Raw genomic sequence first — 20,559 nt, forward strand, 5'->3', positions numbered from 1 at the left:
GATTGAAGACAGTCAGCCGAATTAGCAGCTCTGCAGTGTTTGAATAAGAGAAAGGTGGAGAGCACATCTTTTTATACTTCTCTCCATGCAGTTGTACGAATTTAGAAACTGGGGTTTATCAAAAGTTAACACTCCTGTTTAGCAGTGCCTGGGGCAAAAATGCAGGACATTACTTTTCTTTTATCTTGGGATATAAAGGGTTATGATATCCATAGTATATAATTATCTTTTTAATAACTGGTTGTCTAGGAAGTGCATGCCACTGAGAATCTCCTATTGAAGGTCTGAAAAGTAGAAGCATGAGAATTTAATCTTTGCTTTTGATTTAGTTTCTCTCTCTCTCTCTCTCTCTCTCTTTTTTTTTTTTTTTTTTTTTTTTTTGAGACGGAGTCTCGTTCTGTCACCCAGGCTGGAGTTCAGTGGCGCGATCGCGACTCACTGCAAGCTCTGCCTCCCGGGTTCACGCCATTCTCCTGCCTCAGCCTCCAGAGTAGGTGGTACTACAGGCACCCGCCACCAGGCCGGCTAATTTTTTGTATTTTTAGTAGAAACGGGGTTTCACCGTGTTAGCCAGGACAGTTTTTCTCTTTTTTAAATAGCTATACATAATGAATAAACTAGTGAATTTAAAAAGCAATATACTCACACCCGTAATTCCAGCACTTTGGGAGGCCGAGGCTGGCGGATAACTAGGTCAGGAGATTAAGACCGTCCCGGCTAACACGGTGAAACCCCGTCTCTACTAAAAAATAGAAAAAAATTATCCGGGCGTGGTGGCGGGCCCCTGTAGTCCCAGCTACTCCCAGAGGCTGAGGCAGGAGAATGGCGTGAACCCTGGAGGCGGAGCTTGCAGTGAGCTAAGATCGCGCCACTGCTCTCCAGCCTGGGCGTCAGGGTGAGACTCTGTCTCAAAAAAAAAAAAAAAAAAAAGCAGCAATATAAATTATTGTCTCCTAATTTGTGACTTTAGTTACAGATCCCCCTGATCTGTTGTTATTGCAAAAACCTCCCTCATCATTACTGAAATAAATAATTCTTTGTTGTCTCTTGCATGCAATGTAGATATTAGGGACACTGAGGTATAAGAGAATTTCACAATAAGCACACAAACACACATTCACACACATATACAGGCAGATAAAAATTCTGTGTTTGCAAAATGCCGAATGATGACACTCGCAATAAGTAGTAAGTCATTTTAATAAAAAAATGGATTATTTGGATGTTCTTTAAGGAGATTATTTTAGCTATAGTTATGAAAAAGAGTATGTTTAGCAAGAGATCCAAGTCATATTTTGTTACTTCCAGGTCTTAAAAAAGAATACCCAAGCAAAGCAAAGCAAAGCAAAATATGACTGGAAGTACTTAGGGGTAGTGATTACCATGGCCCACTAAAGAGAAGTTAAAATAAAATGCCCAATTCACAGACATTAAATGTTTCTGCTTTTAGATGGTAAGAAAAATGTTTTTTTAATTAAAGATTAAAAAATGTAATAAAGCTCATTATGTTTAATTGACAAACCAAGCAACTTGGAACATTGCAAATTATTCAATGGCTGTTTATGTAAGGAACTGTTGAATTCCTAGGACCAGTCTCAGGAACAGGTTTGCAAAAGTGGAATTCAGTCCTCAGAACTATTTATATACCTAAATGTGAAAACTATCACATGCAGAAAAATATATTTACACACATATATATATGCATGTTTATATAAAATATATTGAAAAATATATAGAGAAACATTTTATGATCTTCTCACAGGAAAGGTGTTTTTAAGCAAGAAAAATGCTTTAGAAACCATATAATAGATGATACAATTTAACTATGTACAAATGTATAATTTTTTATGATCCCCAAACAAGCAGAGTTTGAATAAAACATTTGCAACATATAAAAGCCAAGAGTAGACATAAAAATATACACAAAGATTGTGTAAAATTGTTTACAGATATGAATAATCCTAAAGAAAGTTAAACGATGGTTATAAAAATTAAATCACAGGAGAGAAAGTACAAAAATACAACAAACTTATCAAAAATATTTAACACTTTGGGAATGAGGATAATATAAATAAATTTCCCTATGAATTTTTTTTATAATTACATGTTGCCTTTTTTCAATTATAGAGCAATGATGAGTTGTAGGCCCATTGTGGGAAACAGGCAGCACAGCCTAGCTGTGAATAAACATTAAAAATCCACATATACTTTGATGCAGCAGTTTCACATATTCTCATTTTTTCTGCAGATAGTGTGCATACAACTGTACACAAAGATGTATATACACTGATTAGGGATCCTGGATCCTGCTCCACACCGTGTTTCCTGAACACCTCTGTATTTTGGAGTGCTTTTGTAGAATTTTTTCAAAGTTCTCTTCTGCTGCCTTGTACTTGTCTGGGCTAGGAGGGCTACTGAGTGAAGAATCCCAGTTTCTGACTGGACCTGAGTAGGTACTGATGTGGTTTCTTTCCTTTAGGCAATCTTCTGACCCTCTAGCCTTCCAAAGAATGCCTACTGTTAACCAGATGTCTCTGGAAGTTCTGAGATTCATGCTTAAAGGGACCCTAGACCAAGGCCCCTGGTTGGGCAAAAGGTATGGTGGGTAGATCACGCTTGCTGGTTGCCACAGAATTTCTTGTGCAAGATAATGAAAGATAAGGCTGCCAAAATGGTACTGACAATCTGATATTGGGCAACTTTTACCTAAATCTGACAGAGAAAGAGTTCAGAGCTTAGAGCTACTTATAGTTCACTGCTGGTCCTTGGACTTGAGCTGCATGTTTGGTTCCATGGAATGGGGACTTCTAGCACATCTGTATTTCCATAGCAGTGTCAACTCCAGCCTACAACACTCGAGAGAACCACATTCCTTCTCCACCTGCTGGTAGTTAGGCTCTATGAAGAACTGTCACATGCACTGGTTGGACTATAAACAAGAATGTAATATACCTTTTCTCCACTCATTCTATTCCATTCCCTACCTTCCTCCATTTGTCAGGTGGTCCTAAGGATGAGTAAGCTTATTTTCTGGGAATTTTCCAGATTCTTGCTTCTCATTTTGAAATGCTAATGGGACCTTTAGATTAGTCAGTGTCTTCTCTTGCCTCTAATGGATGTAGTGATTTTATACTCTCCCTGGTTGGTCTTAAGCTCTGCAAAAGAAGGGATGACAGTCTTTGAATGAGACTACTCTTCTTGCTCAAACTGCAGGCTCCTCTATTGCCCTCACGTCTTGTAGTAGTGCATAGATGGGAGAACAATAGTTGAACTAAAATAGATCACATTCTAGGAAGGTGGTGATTAATGCCTGAGAGTTCAATAAATGGTTGGAGGTGTTGTTCAATCTTTATGCTGTAAAATTCCTAGCCATAAGTTTGACATGAGCAGAAACAAATTATCATTCACATTTTCCTTCATATTCTGGATAAGACTTATATTTGTGGTCATCACCAACACCTCACGGTAACAATCAAGAGAATCATTAAAACCTTCCTTCACAGGCAGCACGATGGTGCAGCATCAGTAGTAATGACAAAATCAGCAATAAAGAAAATGGCTAAAACTGCAAAGGCAAACTATATATTGTTTCAATAAAAACAGGTTCTGAGGAACCATGACCTTATGAGTAATAAAAGCATTCCTGACTTTTTCAAATAGTGGCAAGACCTGAAATTTGTGAGGATCAGGCATTTGTTTCCAGGCTCTATGAAGAATCTTAACATGCACGGACTGAACAACAAACTAATATGTAATATACCTCTTCCATACTCATTCTAAATCTTCCCTGACACATAGCAATTCCTCACATGGACCCCAAAATTTTGTGTAGCATTTTCAAATTAAATTATGTGTGCAAACAGGCATTCTGTAAAAAAAAAATTTGTTGTGATGGTGCACACCCAAAGATTAATTCTGCTAGAATGCTATTTCTGCTCTTAACATATTTTCTCTTAAAATTAGATACCAAGATTTACCATATAGGAAACAAGTATTTCCAAAAACAAAAATCAAATTATGCATTATTACCTATAAAATTCTATCCTCTTCTATTCTACTACTAACAGGCATACATTTTTGGCTAAATGAATCTCAGATAAACACCTCCACTTCAAAACCAATTCCAACACCTTTAATCCATAAAAGGCATTTTCTAGTTCCTCATATTCACGATCTCAGTATGAAATACGCTGGTACTCATTTCCTGCTCTCTTTTTCTCCCAATTAATAATCTAAAAAATGCAATGAAGATTTTTTTTTTACTGTTTTGAAGCTAGGAGAAGGGAATAATGTTCTCTCTAATTTTCCTGACTTCTCTTTCAAAATATGCATCTATACGTAATAATTATATATGTATGTATATATCACATACACACACTATATACATATATAATTTATAATTTGCAGCTAGCTCTGCTTCACCTTGGTGAATTCTTTCTTTTTAGTGTACCTTTTTTATTTCTCTGGAAAGATGGAGATACAATGAAGGACTAGCAAAGGAGAATGGCTCAAGGGTGTATGTTCTTTTCTAGACTCTACCACAGCTGTTTTATTGTTTTGTCACTCTTTGTTTCTCAGTTACCTTAATGTAAACTAAGGGTTTTGTAACTCAGTGATGTTTTGCTAGGTGTGTTGTAAAGAATTTTTAACCTTGCTTAAAGAGAGATCTGGTCTTTGCTGTCTACTTCTGAGAGATAATTTCTAAATTCTTAAGATGTCACGCCTTATAAAATGTCTCTGTGTGCCTGAGCATCTGGGGTCACACCAGATACTCAATCAGTGTCATCTAGGGTGGGGACTTCAGGTCATGAAGTATCAATTCAAATTCCTGGACACTGAAGTGGGCTGACTAGGGTGATAGCTCATGTGTATTGCCACACATTGCTGGGAAAAGTAGCATTGTCTGTGACTGCCCTGGGAAACGACAACTGGAAGCTCTACTCTTGAAACTTCCTGGAGCTCTGCCTTACGTGTCTCTTCTATTTGCTGATTTTAAGTATATATATATTTTTTACTATAATAAATCATATTCATGAGTATAATAACTTTTATTTAATTCATTTAGCCCTTCTAGTGAATTATCAAAACTGAGGGTGGTCTTGGAGAACTCTGGACTTGCAATTTGGGATCAGGCGAAGCTGGTTTTAGAGTCTGCCCCCTAATTTTGCACCAGGAATGAGAAATGCATCTTCTTCTACTCATCCTTCAGAGCACAGTTTAAACTTCACTTTTTCAGAAAATTATTTTCTGATTCCAACGGCATTTTTTTTTCATTTAATAGTATATTGGTTCTTATGCACTGACTGAACAGTAAACAAACATGTCATTCTTATGTTGAAGTCCTAATTCTCAGTGTGATTGCAGTTGGAGACAGGATGTTTAAAGAGGTAATTAAAGTTAAGTGAGCTCATAAGTGTGGGGTTCTAATCCAATAGGATCGTGTCCTTATAAGAAGAGAAAGAGACACTGGGGATGCACACTTCAGATGTCCATGTGTGGGCAAAGCAAGAAGAAAAGCCTTGCAGGCCAAGGAGAAAGGTTTCAGGAGAAGTTAAGCCTGCAAACATATTGATCTCAAACTTTCAGACTCCAGAACTGTGACAAATGAACTTCTGTTTTTTAAGCCATCCTATCTGTGGTATTTTGTTATGGCAGCTCTTACAGACTAATACTGTTCTTCACATCGTATTTTCTCATCATGCTAGCAAATTCACTTAAATGTTATTTAGTACAATTGAAATTCAATAATAAATCGCATGATTCTATCACTTCTCGGCCTTTTGGGTAAGATCAAGTGTAATTAATTGCATGATTCCTAATTTAATGTGTTTTCATTCCCTTCTCATTCACACTCGCTTGAGTATCTTCTTAATGATATCAGTGATCTCGCTTGCTGCTCAGTCGCCAAAATTTTGTATAGTGAAGCAGAGTAGATACTTAATAGTGGTTGAATGAGTGAATGAATAAAAAATGAATTCATAAAAGATTGAATAGCTAATAAAATTTCTGTAGGTGAATATTTACTGTATAACTAACATTTGAGAGACTTCTCCAGTTACCTATACCCTATTATCAATATAACTTTATTCATGCTCTGAGCCTGAAGATTCATTGATCAGTGACCGACTTCTAGATCTGACAATGAACAAGTCTCATCTCAGCCTAAATCATGACTGTAACCACAAATGAACTTGGTTGGAGCAAATCACAAAAACATACTGTTCTCAGCATAAATTCACTGTCACTAATTTCAGGGAAGCGGGAGCATGGGAGCATGATTCTTAGTGCTGCCTGGCAATCCTATCACATTTCCTGGTTCCTTCAATTTTTCACTCTGTTAGTGAATTATTTCATGTCCTTTCCTCAATTCTGACATCAACACAGCCTTTTCCCATTTTTTAAAATCTTAGTTGATGAACTTTATACTTCACTAAAAAAATTGGGGCAGTAAGTAGGGAACTTTATCAATTTTCATGACAATTGCTATTCCCCTATTTCACAGGCAGGAATTACCTCAGTTCTCTCCTATACTACTCTGAGTGAATTCTCTATGCTACTGTGATCCTAGCTAATGATGACACCTCTGCTTTTGCTTTAGATGCATCCTTCTTATCTACTCAATGATGTCACTCTAGCAACTCTCATTTTCTCTTTCATCATCAATTTTCTTTGCCAATAATTTTTTTCATCACTTAAAGTGTTTTAAAATTTTCAAGGATAAATATTGAAACCACAATCTGTCTTGACCTCATCTGACCTTTAATTACTGAACCATTTGCTTTGTTCCATTTACTGACAAACTCTTTAAAATAATGTTCTACATTTTCTCACCAATTGCCATCTTCTAATTCTCTCTTGAACTAGGTTTTTGCTTCTTCTCCACTTTTGAAATTGCTTTAATCATGATCTCCAAAGATTTTCACATGCTAAATTCATTGACCATTTATTTGACTTTATATTCCTTGGCTTATAGCAATAGTCGACACATGCTCTTAAGTCGGTTTATACCACACTTACCTGGTTGTCTCCTAATATATTGGCCATTTCTCGTTAGTCTCTTATACTGGTTCTTCATCTCAGTTGTCTTTAAATTTTGGAATACCCCAAGGCTTAATCCTAGAAGCATTACCAATACTCATTCCAAAGAAGATCTTATTATCTCATTCTATCTGATGATTTTAAATGTCATTTAAAAGTTGCTGATTCTATTTTTAAAAATCTCTAGCCTGACCTTTCTCTTGAACTTTATACAAATATCCAACTTACTGTTTGACCTTTCCAATTAAATATTTGACCTCATATGGCCAAATTGAGCTCTTGACAGATAGGCACATCCTTGCCAAACTTTTACCTCTCACAGTTTTCAATTCCATTTCATAGCAACTCTATTTTATAACTACTCAAACAAAAATTTTAGCATCATTCACGGCCTGCAAGGATGTAAGTCACATCCTCATTGTTTGTCCCCAGCAATTCTTTTGGCTCTACCTTCAAAATGTATCAGGAATGTGGTTACTTCTCACACACCCACTCTTGCCATTATGAAGAGGAAAGTCTTCTAGGAGTGTCAGAATAATAGAAATTAAGAGGAGAAAAGGTATTTTAATGAGTATTATTACAAATTACATATAAGAACCACTTTAAATAGTTTAGAAATATGTGAATTAAGATTGAAATTCCCATTTGTAGGACTGAATAATATAGACTACAGCTTTATTTGTATTTCTATATTGTATTCATTGTTATTTACGAATGGGAAAACTGAGCGCTAGTTTAATAATTTGTCTAAGATTACATGAGTCAACAATAGGTACTCTAGAATTAAAATTAGAGATGGCTTCTTCCAGGATTTTCAGAGTTTGCCAGATCAGCTCTCAAATTAAATTAAAAACCATAACAACTTGAATGAAATCATGCCTGCTTAAGAAAATAGGAAATAAGTAGGAATGTCTAGGATGTTTTATTATTTTCCAACGTTTATTGATTAACACCTACTATATTACAAGTCTGACCTAGGTTTGAGATGAGACAACTATATTGTTGCCACAATCTTCCTAGAATTCCATTCCTCAAAGTTTTATTGTAGATTTTGAATTATTTGCCTTACTTCTCATTACATTCAATTTTTCAAACTCATTTCTTATCCCTGGAGTGCTTTACACATTTGTATCTTCTCTTCTCAAATCTTGGAATCTGATCCTTATATCTGGCTCATGATCAACCCTGACACAGATGTTAGCTATCTTCTTGTCTCTAACTTGTGCATTCTGCTAACTTAAAGTTTTTTGAAAGGCAGCAGTCTCCTGTTTTCAGCAAAAGGTAGATTCCAAGACCTCTAGTGAATGCCTTAAAACCCAGATAGTAACAAACCCTATATATACTGTTTTTTGCTATATATTTATACTTATGATAAACTAATAATAAAATGGAAAAATTATAGCAATATACTATAATAAAAGTTGGTGAATGTAGTCTCTGACTCTTAGCCTCAAAATATCTGATTGTACTCTACTCACCTTTCTTCTTGTGATGATGTGAGATGACACGATGCCTACACGTTGAGATGAAGTCAAGTGAATGACACAGTCATCAGGATATAGCCTTCGGCTACTATTGAACTGTATATTCTGGAATCGGTGTAACCATCCCTTACATGCAGTAAATGGATTGGCATAATTAGTTTGAGGGGATCATTTGCTGAAGTCTTCCTTAGGATCAGTGCTTTGTGGCACAACACATTGCCATTCATTGAAACACATTTTCTGTTTGTGTCTTCTACCCACAAATATAATGCCTTTTCCATTTTAACTAAGCACTTATTATGCACTATGGCCATAACTTTTGCACTTTGAGGTACAACAGCCAAATTAGCATAAATTTCTTGTCCTTTCTTCGCAATTATCCTGATAGATTTGTTCTTACTATAGGTTTTAGCAAGCTCAGCATACATTTTTTTCCTTTATTAAGTCAAGAATTTTTACATTTTCACTTAAAGCACTTCATAGTTGCTCTTTGACATATCTAAATTGCTATCTTGAGTTTTACTCTTTTATTGAGTAAAATAAATGTTACTTCAATACAAGCACTGCTATACTGTGGTAGTTGCTCTGATAACTGAGATGGCTACAAGTGACTAACAAGTGGGTAGCACAGACAGCATGGATACACTGGACAAAAGGATAATTCATGTCTCAGGAAGCATGAAGCAAGAAGGTGCAAGATTTTATCATGCTACTCAGAAAAGCATAAAATGTAAAACTTAAGAGTGGTTTATTTCTAGAATTTTCCAATTAATATCCTCAGACTGCGGTTAACTGCAGGTAATTAAAACTGCGGAAATTGAAACCACACATAAAAGGGGGCCACTGTACAAATCACTCAAATCCCCAATGGGTATTTGATCTTTGTCCTAGTGAAACCGACTCAATAGTCCCATAGACTTTTCTTTTAGATAAACATAAAAATTGACCTTTCTGATCTTAAAACTTGAAGCTTACATTTGTATTATCTGAGTTCCTTCCTCAGAAAAGGACCTTCAGGCCTCTCAAAAAAAGTATCAAAGAACTGAAACTCACCAGATCACCATATCCTGACAATGAGATGCCTGACCCCTCGTTCATCATGACTTCTTTGGTGCCCCTCCCTAGTTATTGTTTTATTACACATTGTTACATTTCCTTCCTTGCTATATAAACACTTAGTTTTAGTGGGTCAGGGAGACGCATTTGAGACTAAACTTCCATCTTCTTCACTGCAGCACCTGATTAAAGCCTTCTTCCTTGGCTATATTTATTGTCTCAGTGATTGGCTTTCTGCACGGTAAGCAACAGGATCTAGGCCCAACCCATGGTGTTTCACTATCACTAGCATGGGATTCCTGTTTTGATCATTAATTTTAGTTAATATGGTAGACATTCCCACTAGGTTCACAAAATTTCCGATTCAAATAGTAACAAAAACAACAAAAGCAAAATAATAATCCTGAACCAGTAGTTTTTAAAAACAAGTATTTTTGGTTACCTGGTAAAATTTGACACAGGGTGAATTTAACCTTTGTTTTTAGATAGAAAACAAATTCTAGTCTTCATGTTTTTCACCGTATTTTAATATTAGAGAAACTACTGGTACTGCCTAATATTTATATTGAGGTTTAAATTACAGACCTTAATGCATTTTTCTATTCCATCCAGAGCTAAGTAAGAAAATGCTAATAAGCCCAGGCAATGTTTTGTGAGTCTAAATTCTTTATCCAAAGTTCAGATTGTATTTAAACCCACTTCTTAATGAATCAGTTCTTAATGGATCAATGTTTAGATTGTATTTAAACCCAGTTCTTAATGAATCAAAAATGGATCTAATATCCCTTTTTGAACGAGGTTCTTGCAAGGTGACAGAGGAAGGGCTAGTGAGATTATCAGTATTCTCCTGAACTTATACTTTTAGCTCTTGCTTAGGCTTTTTGTGTCTTGACTCCAATAATCTGATGGTGATATTTAGACAACTGATAAGTCCATAAATATTGATTTTCATGAATCAAGTTTCTAATGAGATCATGGCTAAATTGGGAAACATTCAATTGTATAAGTTTAGGTGGCCCAAGACAGATTAAAACTAGACCTAAAGTAGGGCAAACATAGCTCCAGATATGCTTATATCAAAACTGTTAGTTGGGAAAAATAAGAGAATTTCTATCTCATTCCATTGTATATGAAATTAACACTCACAAAGGAAGATAGCAATATTGGCTTATATATTTAATTATTTATTTCAGAAGTCCTAATTATATTCCCACACCTCTCTGCACTGGTGCACATGTAACTTCTTTGTTCAGAGGTATGCCTTTCTTTTCAAAACATATCATCTTCTTCATACAATTTCTCAGTGCAGCAAATTTTTCTTGGTAAGGAACATATGTCTATTTGCTTTTCACTCTCAAGACAGTCTCTTTTACAACGACCGTAACGTTTGGTGCAACGATCAGCATTCACCAAGGTACATGTGGCTACGGTAAAAGAAGAGTAACAGAAATTCTAATCTTTTATTTAAGCATATATTACTTCTGATTTCATAGAGTATGATGTGTACATTGTATCAAGTTTAGAAAATACCAAAAAAAAATAAATCCATGTATATCTTATACCCCATGTATATATAACTATCTTATACCCCAAATATATATAACTATCTTATACCCCATGTATATATAAAATTAAAACTTGTTTTAAAATTAATATATGATTAAAAACTTCATGACACATATTATTCTCAAAAAAAAATTCAAGATATTTGTAGAGCTACACGACAATGTGCATAATCTTTCAGCTGTTTTCAGACAATCATATCATATCTAAAGTTTTTAATATTTTAGGATTATGATAATGTGGTTTACATAATTTAATACTTATATGATATATCCTTATGATAGTTGTAAAAAAGTTTAATTTTAGAGTTTTGGTACTGCCACAAAAATTTATGCAATTTTTGCCCCATTGCAATTTTAATTGTTATGTCTTTATTTATGTTGAATACTTTTCCTTCTTTTTATAAAATTTTTTACATGCTTTGTTGATTATATAACTGGAATTTTTTAAAATTAATAAGTTCATAAGAATTTTAAAAATATATTGTGGATAGTAACTTTTGTCTGTCATATATGTCACCAATTGGTCTTCCTTAGTTGTTGTTTTTTATATTGTTAGTTATGGATTTTAAACAATTACATTTTCATTACAAGATACATAAATATTCAATTTAAAAAATGTAAACAATTTTGTATTTTTATATGCAGAAATGTACAAAAATAATCTATTTTAATGTATTATTCTAACTTCAAAATAAGAAATTCTTGCATAGATTTTTTCATCATAGTATTTTATTTATTATAGTATTTTTCTCTTTATATCAACTGTACTTGTCAGATATGTAGCTAACTTCATTTCTTTTAAATGATTAAATAATTATTCCACACTATTTATTAAAATAATTTCTTCACCTCTTTAAATGATTTTCACTGTATGCTTAATGTTGTTATATGCTAAACTCACAAACTCTAGATCTCTTTCAGCTATCAATTGCATTTTATGAATATAGCTATGGATTTTTGAAACAGAAACAGCTTAGATTACAAAAGTGTGTAATAGAAACAGCAGATGCTTTATTGTATTTTATTTCTTTATGTATGAACTTTAAAAAGAAAATAAAACAAACTTGCAGAAGAGTACCCAAAAATAAATGCTCAGCTAAGAGTGTTATTAAACATTAAGGACCTATGTAAACACTACCCAAGTCAAGAAATAGAACATTTCCGGCACACTTGTGCCCCCTTACAGTTACTATTCCTTTCACTCTTTCAGTTAAAAAAAAATTGTCTTGATTTATATTTTGTTTAAGCCTGCTCATTTTAAAGCTTTATGTGAATGCAACAGTACAGCACATATATTTTTACATCTGATTTTATTCACTCACAATATTGTATTTTGAGATTTGTTCTTGTTTTGTATAACTATAATTCTTCCATGTTCATTATCATATAGTGGACTGTTACATACATATACGACATTTTAGCCTTATCTGCTGATGAATATTCAGGTTGTTTCCCATTTTTGAATACTTTTGTACTTGACTCTTGGGGCACATGCTCAGGCATTTTTGTTGGGCATATCCCTAAGGGTGAAATACAATGGTAAGGTGTCTACATAGCTTCAACATTAATAGATAATGCCAAACAGATGTTCAAATAATTGGTGCTAACTTAAACTTCCAGAAGCATTGAATAATAGTTTCAGACATCTAAAATCTAAGAAATGCTTGATATTTTCAATTTAGTAATTATGATGTGAATGTAGACACCTCATATATCTTAACCCATTTTATATTTCATAATAAAATGCCAATTTTTCTGATTACTGAAAAAGGGTAACATATTTTCTTATGTTTACTGACCTAATAAATATCTATCATTTAGAAAGTGATCCATCTTTGGTTTTCTATTGGACAGTCTGTCTTTTTTATACTGTTTTATGTATGTTCTTTATATATTCTAGTTGTGTTCCTTTTATATGCTAAATGTATTGAACATATTTTTCTCCATATAGAGCTTGCTTTTTTTAGTTGGTGTTTTTTGACTGACAAAAGTTTCCAAATTTTAATGTAGTCAATACTATTTTTTCTACTGATTAAGAAATACTACTACTTGTATGTTAAAATTGTTAGTAAATTCTTTTACATTAACTTGCATGCTTTATTGTTTTGCCTTTTTCCATGCTTGCATCTCAGGTTATTTGGAATGAGATTTTGGATGTGGTAAGAGGCAATAGTCAAGCTTCATTTTTTCTTCATATGGCTATGCAATGGAACCAGCCCTATTTATTGAAAAGCTTATTTATTACGTTGTTCTGTAGTGCCATCTTTATCTGTTTCTGGGTTCTCTATTCTCCATTGATTTATTCAAAAATTTATATGTATTAGATAATTTCTGAAAAAATTACATCATAATGAATCTGAACAACAACAAAAAGAAATAGAAAATCTAAATGTTTCCAAATTCATTAAGGGAATAGAATCCATAATAATTAAGCTTCTATAGGGAAAATACCCAGCCCAGATAGGTTCACTGTTGAATTCTAAACATTTAAAGAAGAAATAACACCAATTATACACAAACTTTTCCAGATAATAGAAAATAAAAGGATGTTTCTAACTTATTTTATGAGATCAACAATACCTGGTACTAAAACTGATCAGGACATTACAAGAAAGAAAATTACTCATTAATACAGATGCAAAAAGTTTCTTGTTCACAATATTCTCCCATGATCTTTTTGATATCTGTAGCATATATACTAATATCTCTGATAAAGTTTAGTTTTGCCTTCACTTTTTCTTTACAGTTTTGTCAAAGCTTTATTAATTTTGTTAGTCTTTTCAAAAAACAAAATGTGGCCTTCTTTATTTTCTCTAGTGTCTGTTTTCTACTTACATCTAATTAAGTCTTATTACATGTTTGTAACTGTCATTTTAATTTGATTTTCTTTTTTAACTTCATCAGTTAAAATTTTAGTTACATTTTTAGTTTTAATTCTTTTTAGATATATGGATATAACTATATTAATTTCCTTGTAAACCCTACTATGAACTTTGATTTATCTCATTTTTATTACTATTCAGTTCAAAATATTTTCTAATATCCATTTGATCATCTTATAGATTCTGTTATTGATATTCCAAGAAATATACACTGCTGTTCTCAGTTCATTCAGTTTCTCTAGGGTCTAATTACTTTCAAGCTTTCACTTCTGAGACTTATAAATAAATTTAATATATTATAGTTTTCTGAACAATTTAAATATCTAGAAGAAAACTCAGTCCAAAAAAATTGAAAGATGTTGTCTTCATTATCTCATTTTATCTACATATTTGGAGAATGAGGTGGGTACAGTACACCAGTATAATGATATTATCAATGAGGAAACCAAGATTCAGTATAATAAAGACACTTATTTAATTGATAAGATTGCATTAAAAATTTGCATTCTACAATTAATAATTTATTATTTCTATTTCTAGTGAGAAGTTTTACACAAATATAACAGAGACATCTATCTTACCTGGTAGAATGAAGGTCACATAACACAGAAAATGGAGATAGTAAAAGATCCTCATTCTGTAGAAAGAAGTTGTTGAAAGACTTGATAACAGAATATAGAGACTATAGAACTTTCCAAAACCCAAAAGACGTTTACTATTTATAGTTTTCTCATGGAAGAGAAACTCTCGTTATCTGGAAATTGTTTTAATTTTGTGTGCCTATCTCTGCTCCAATGACTATGGCTGTGGGCAGAATTACCCAAATTGAAAACACTTGAAAATAATAGAGCTTTTGGAAGGAATCCCTCTGTGAATGATAGCTGTAAACATGGCATCTTCCTATCATTGCTAATTAATTAATGATCAATGCAAAGGGGCATCCATGGAATAAATTTAAGGTAAATACTTATTTACTACTTCAGAAATAAAACAGCTGAACATTGTCCATTAATCTGCTGATTACTTTTCAAAATTTACTGTAATCACTAATCTGGTGTGTCAATTCATCAATATGCCTGCATATCAAAAAATTTTAATTATATCATGTTATCCCATTAATTTCCCCCAAATTATTCATTTACAAGACCCAAATATTAAGCCTCACTTTTATCACTAATTTCTGTTACATTTTTGAGATGGAACTTAAATATTCACAAAACTCTTGTTTTCCTAGTAAAGCTCAATAATTCTCCACTTTTTTTAACATTTAAATATTTAATTACATGGACACAATAAATAATGAGAAGAGACTGTAATGAATAGCAATAATTTCCTACCCACTAGGCCCTCTAGTGATTACTAACATAAGAACAAGGATGTAGTTTATATCTTATCTTGGCTTACCAAACAGAGTACATCTCTTGGTTTCTACTAAGAAAATTACAAATTTAGATTACTTACACTCTTTTCTAGGCTATCTTTATCAAATATTTTGAAGTTATGTTAATTTTTTAAAAATGTTATAATCTTCAATAAAACACTTATATTTTTCCTATCAACTGTAGTTGCAATATTAAGCCTTCCTCACTTAAAATGAAAATATTAGCCCTCTTGCTAGTTACTCCAGCAATTCTCCCCACTTTTTACACCTCATTCATTTGTTACACATTTCCTTTCATCTTGTGTAAGATAATATGTGTACTCTATGTATAATTAGAATTAAAACATACACTTTATTTTTAGACTGTAGTACAATAAGTATTATCAATTATATTGCCTTTTTCTATGTGCCCAATATCACAACACTTGGGTTAATCAAAGAGAAATGCTCTTGGTTTCAAAGTCAAATTGACATTATTATTAACATTATTACCAATAATTTATTTTATATCTTTCTTTTCTTCTTTCTGCTTTCTTTTTTCTTAAGTGTTTTTTTGTGTTTTTATTTTGTTTTATATTTGGTTATGTCATTATTGAAGAGTATTTCTTCCTGCAGTTTTCTTTGTATATGTGGACAAAATATAAATAATAGGCATTCTCTATCGTCAAGTTTATCTGAGTAGCATAGGTGAGTCCTGAGATTGCTTCATTCTAAGATTTTTCTAAACCTGCCCTCCTGAGTTTAATTTACCGTGATCTGGATCTTGTGTCTTTTTTTGTTGTTGTTCTTGTTTTTCTCCCTCCAGAATTGTTTTCAGAAAAGATTTTTTTAAATTAGAATTTTGTTTCTAAAAAATATTTTTATTCTGCCCTCACATTTAGTTATTTGGATGTTAAATCTAGGTTCAAAATCATGTTCCTTCACAACTTTGAAGCTGTTACTCTACTAACATCCGGCATCCAGTCTTCCTGATGAAAACTCTAATGCCTGGATAGCTCCTTTTAAATGTTTTAATTTTTTCTCTCTTGATGTCATTAGGACATTGGTTTTCTGATTCAGTCTCCCAAACTTTATGATTCACACATTTCTTGGTGTAAATTTCTTATGAATAAGTTATCTTTCTGGTATTGGTGAGCTTATATCTTTCCTGGGATCTGGGAAATTTTCTTCCTCTTTCTATATTTTTTTTCCTCAGATAAGTTCTTCCCTCCTTATTTGTTTGTTTATTTTCTCTCTTTTGGGGATGTTTTTAAGTCAAACATTTAGCCATTTCTCTATAATTTTCTCTCCTACTTTTATGTCTTTTTGTTATTTTTTGATTTTAAATAAATCTTTTACTTTTATATTTAGCTTTTGCAATTTTTTAAGCAAAATTTTGTCGTTTGCTAAAAAAGGAATATAAGTGCCATTTTCTGTTCTTTGATTATTCTTATGTCATAGAATTATAGTCCTGTATTATAGATGTAAAGGCTTCTTGAATACCTCTGTAAATACATTTTAGAGAGATTTTGTTTGTTTGTTTTGTGTTACATTATATTCTTTTTCTTGATCTGTTTTCTCAGAATCTAGCATTCTGTTTGTCATTGTGATCTTAGATATTCATGCTGCTGATTTTACTTATATGCTGGATGAAGAACTGAATACATTGTAGGATTTCCTCCGTTGTCATGCATATCTTTTCCTCTCTGCAATGGAATTCTCATGGTAAAGTCTGTGAATGCGGGCTGAATGGGCTTCCTTACTACAAGTAGAATGCCATATGACTCCCTATATCTTGAAGAAGAAACCTTGCTATTTTTCCAGAGGCAGAAGTTTCTATACCAGAAATCTTAGCTCTCTCCACAAGATTTTAATTATTCAATTAGATTGTGATTGCATTTAAACAAAGCTAAAAACCTCATGAGGGAAGAATTGTGGAGATTCAGTAATTTTTCTTGAATAAAGAAAGGCTCCTTGGATTTTTTTGCAAGTCTAGTTAATTTGCAGAGCTCTTTATAAAGTGGATTTAGACAATTTTATGACGATCTTTTTCTTCCTTTTATGGAGAAGCAGATTTTCTGAATTTTTTACTCCATTTTTCCAGAAGTCCTACCCATAATTTTTTGCTTATTGCTACTTAACAAAAATTTCTGTGGTCTGAAAGTTAAGCTCTGTTCTGATTTATATTCTTGTGCAATAAACTACTCTAAAACTTGTTGGCTTAAAGTAGAAGAAAAACACAACATTTTATTATGCTCATGAATTGTGCGTGACAAAAAATTAACATAGAATATAATGGGGTATGAGGTTGCCTATTTTCTTTATGTCTGAAAACTCACCTGAGAGACATAGCCTAGGAGTGATTTCACATTGGCTAACTCCTTCTTATCCTCCTTTGTGGGTTCCAGTTCTTCACATAGAATTATTTAAATCCTATTCCTTGGGATTTCATACTTTTCCACCTTGGTCTGTAGCCTTTCATTGGGTGATTTTATCTCATTGCTTTGGTTAATGGCTCGACAAATCTATATTGGAAGCACATTTTTTCTTTCTTGAGCTTCACACATGAATATAGCAGAAAAGTGTAAACCTAATATGTTATAAGTGCTCCTTTCCAAGTTTGCTCCTCTGACTATATTTTTTAATGAGTGATCACATAGTTAGGTAAATGTTTCAAATAAGAAAACTGCAAGTAATCCATTTCTCTTAAACCTAAAATTCACTGAAACTCCTTGATTTCTTCTAAGTCAGAACTCTGCCCTAAATTTTTATACTGTCCAAATTGTTGTTATAGGTTTAAGTAAGAAATACATTTGGTGGATACTTTAAATCCTGAATGCCAAGTTTTACTGATGCTTTATAATTAATAAGAATATTTATGTTAAAGTTATTTTAATAGTATAATAGAAATTAATGTGGAATGTGGAAACTTGGAAACCCAATGAATTCATTGAAGACAAGGACAAAAACAGAAGCATTAAGTATTGAAGTATAAGATGAAAGAAGTTAAATAAAATTCTTGAGGACCAAGAGAGAAGACCCTTGGATTGGCAGCCTATGTTTAAGATTGATTATAATAGTCAGCTTTGGATGTTAGAATTAGAAGTGACTTTTCTTTTTTATCTTTGAACATTTCTATATTGTTCTAAATTTTCATATTATTTTAAAATTTAAAAAGCTGTTAAGATGTTTTTAATTTGCTTTTATCCTGATCACAAAATTATAAGTATATATGTAGAACAATATAATATTATAACGAAGTAAATAAATCAGCCATGAACTCATCTCTCCAACATAACTACTCTTAGGGTTTAGTGTTTTTCCTCCTGCTGTTTTTCTCTTTTGATGTATTTTTACATGGGTAAGGTGTTAATATATTCCATTTTACTCCCTTTTCAGTTTGATTAGCTCTTTCTTAAAATTGTTTTTATCAGTCTTCTGTTATTATGTGATTAGCATCTATATAACTTTGTGTCCAAGAAACAAACACATTTATATGGAAACTAAGAGAAGGCACATAAACCATAATTTATGTTTACTATATGAAAGATCATATGAAAATAAATGTTTCTGTACCAGGCAAATAAATAGGTCAGAGATGAAGAGAACAAGAATCAAAAGTCCTCTGTCTCATGGCTGGAGATAAACTTCTGCCAATTTAATGAAGAAGATGCTACCACTCTTTTTTTCTTTATTTCTCTTGTACTAAGCCAACATTGAATTCACTAGCCATGGTATAATTGTGTAATCCAGAAGGCCAGAGATCAACAACTTAAATATAGATTGATAGATAGCAAAAATTCATTTTTATTAGTAAAATTGTTATACAGTGTTTTATAATTATAATTTATTTTTGATGGAGTTTACTAGTGATTTTGTTAATGATTGGCTTTTGGTATTCCCATACCGCACAGCAGGGGTTAACATTGCAGTAATAATATACATATTCCCAGCTGTTGCATTCCGGCTTGCAAGCACCACGAACAAGCTGACATTCTCTTTTTCTCTCTGCAACTTCTCTTGTTTTTTTCTGTGGAACTAGGAAAAAGTAGCTATGACCATAAGTCCAGATTTAATATCCTTAGATACAGAGATGAATAAACTCTTTAAAATGTAGAGTTAAACCATTTTGTTTCTGAAATCATGCCCAAGCAACTCTATTGAAATTTTTCCCTCTCTCAGCTGGTATAATATACTTATTTATCTAACAATATTGCTTTTGTCACCAGCTTTTTAAATTATCATTTAATAAATAGAACATTTTTAAATATCTAATTTGTGTGTGCTTCCTCAAGAGTAAAGAGAAAAAGACATGGAAGAAATAGCCTACATGTTCTGTGTTCTAAATAATCATCCACCTCCAACCCCTTTTCTCTCTACCCCTAGCAATCATTAGGTTGGCTGTAAAAAGCTTAATTTTGATGGTAGCTACAATAGCAGTTGGTAAAATTGATTTTGAAACAGAAGGCAGTGGGAAGTATCTAAAAAATTATAGTGTCATCACACAAAACAACACAATAAATAAATTTAATTCTACATCTCAGGAAGTTTTAAAAATTATTTTCTCAACTACCAGTTCTACTCATTTCTTCCCCCATGAAAAAATAGAGAAAATTGCCTTATAAGGAGTTCATATGAAATCTCCTAACAATAATTTATTTGTTTTTATTATTTTCAGAGTAAAGCATTTATAAGAACATTTTGCCTTTCACATCTTTTTTATAATAACAAATATTACCTGATGGACCACAAGACACAGTGAAGACAAAGGTCAGAAAAATACAAAGTATCTTCATTGCTGATGCAGTTACACTTGAGTAAAGTGGGGACAGATCTCAAAATGTCTCAGAGTTGTGCTAGTCTTTGGTAAAAGAAATATGGGTTCTTGTTTTTACAGCCTTCTTGGCGTGATTACAATTCTGATTAATGCTGCCTACAATTCTGATTAATGCTGACTTTCCAGATTGAGTGCATATTCATGTAAGCATTGTGAAACAGCAAACAAGTATAGTAGAGAGTTTAGTGCTGCTACAACCTCGGTGAGCCAAACATGAATTCATTTCATTTTTGTAAGTAAACAATGGGGTTAAAGTATTCTTGGTCACTAATTAATTGAAAGCACATAATCAACATCATTTACATTTTTGACTACATGCTTTCTTGAGTATTTATTA

General features: G+C 32.6%; 2 protein-coding genes across 2 annotated transcripts; both read right to left on the reverse strand.

Annotated features, from left to right (window-relative positions):
- Positions 1-10,804: 10,804 nt before the first annotated feature.
- On the reverse strand, positions 10,805-14,720 carry DEFB114 (defensin beta 114). The gene is made up of 2 exons (NM_001037499.2): positions 14,607-14,720; positions 10,805-11,002 (listed from the first exon to the last, which is right to left on the reverse strand). Exons 1-2 carry the CDS (start codon positions 14,659-14,661, stop codon positions 10,848-10,850), a joined length of 210 nt encoding a protein of 69 aa, NP_001032588.1. The 5' UTR covers positions 14,662-14,720; the 3' UTR covers positions 10,805-10,847.
- A 4,512-nt stretch (positions 14,721-19,232) lies between these two features.
- DEFB113 (defensin beta 113) lies at positions 19,233-20,181 on the reverse strand. The gene is made up of 2 exons (NM_001037729.1): positions 20,124-20,181; positions 19,233-19,423 (listed from the first exon to the last, which is right to left on the reverse strand). The coding sequence occupies exons 1-2, from the start codon at positions 20,179-20,181 to the stop codon at positions 19,233-19,235; spliced, it is 249 nt and encodes an 82-aa protein (NP_001032818.1).
- Between the last annotated feature and the right edge of the window lie 378 nt (positions 20,182-20,559).

Source organism: Homo sapiens, chromosome 6 (genome assembly GCF_000001405.40).
Source record: "Homo sapiens chromosome 6, GRCh38.p14 Primary Assembly".
Classification (NCBI taxonomy): domain Eukaryota; kingdom Metazoa; phylum Chordata; class Mammalia; order Primates; family Hominidae; genus Homo; species Homo sapiens.

Coding starts and splice junctions, on each gene's coding strand:
- DEFB114 (NM_001037499.2), bottom strand. CDS start 14,661: ATGAGGATCTTTTACTATCTCCATTTTCTGTGTTATGTGACCTTCATT. Junction 11,003..14,606: donor TGTGACCTTCATTCTACCAG/GTAAGATAGATG, acceptor CTTTTACCGTAG/CCACATGTACCTTGGTGAAT.
- DEFB113 (NM_001037729.1), bottom strand. CDS start 20,181: ATGAAGATACTTTGTATTTTTCTGACCTTTGTCTTCACTGTGTCTTGT. Junction 19,424..20,123: donor TGTGTCTTGTGGTCCATCAG/GTAATATTTGTT, acceptor ACTTTTTCCTAG/TTCCACAGAAAAAAACAAGA.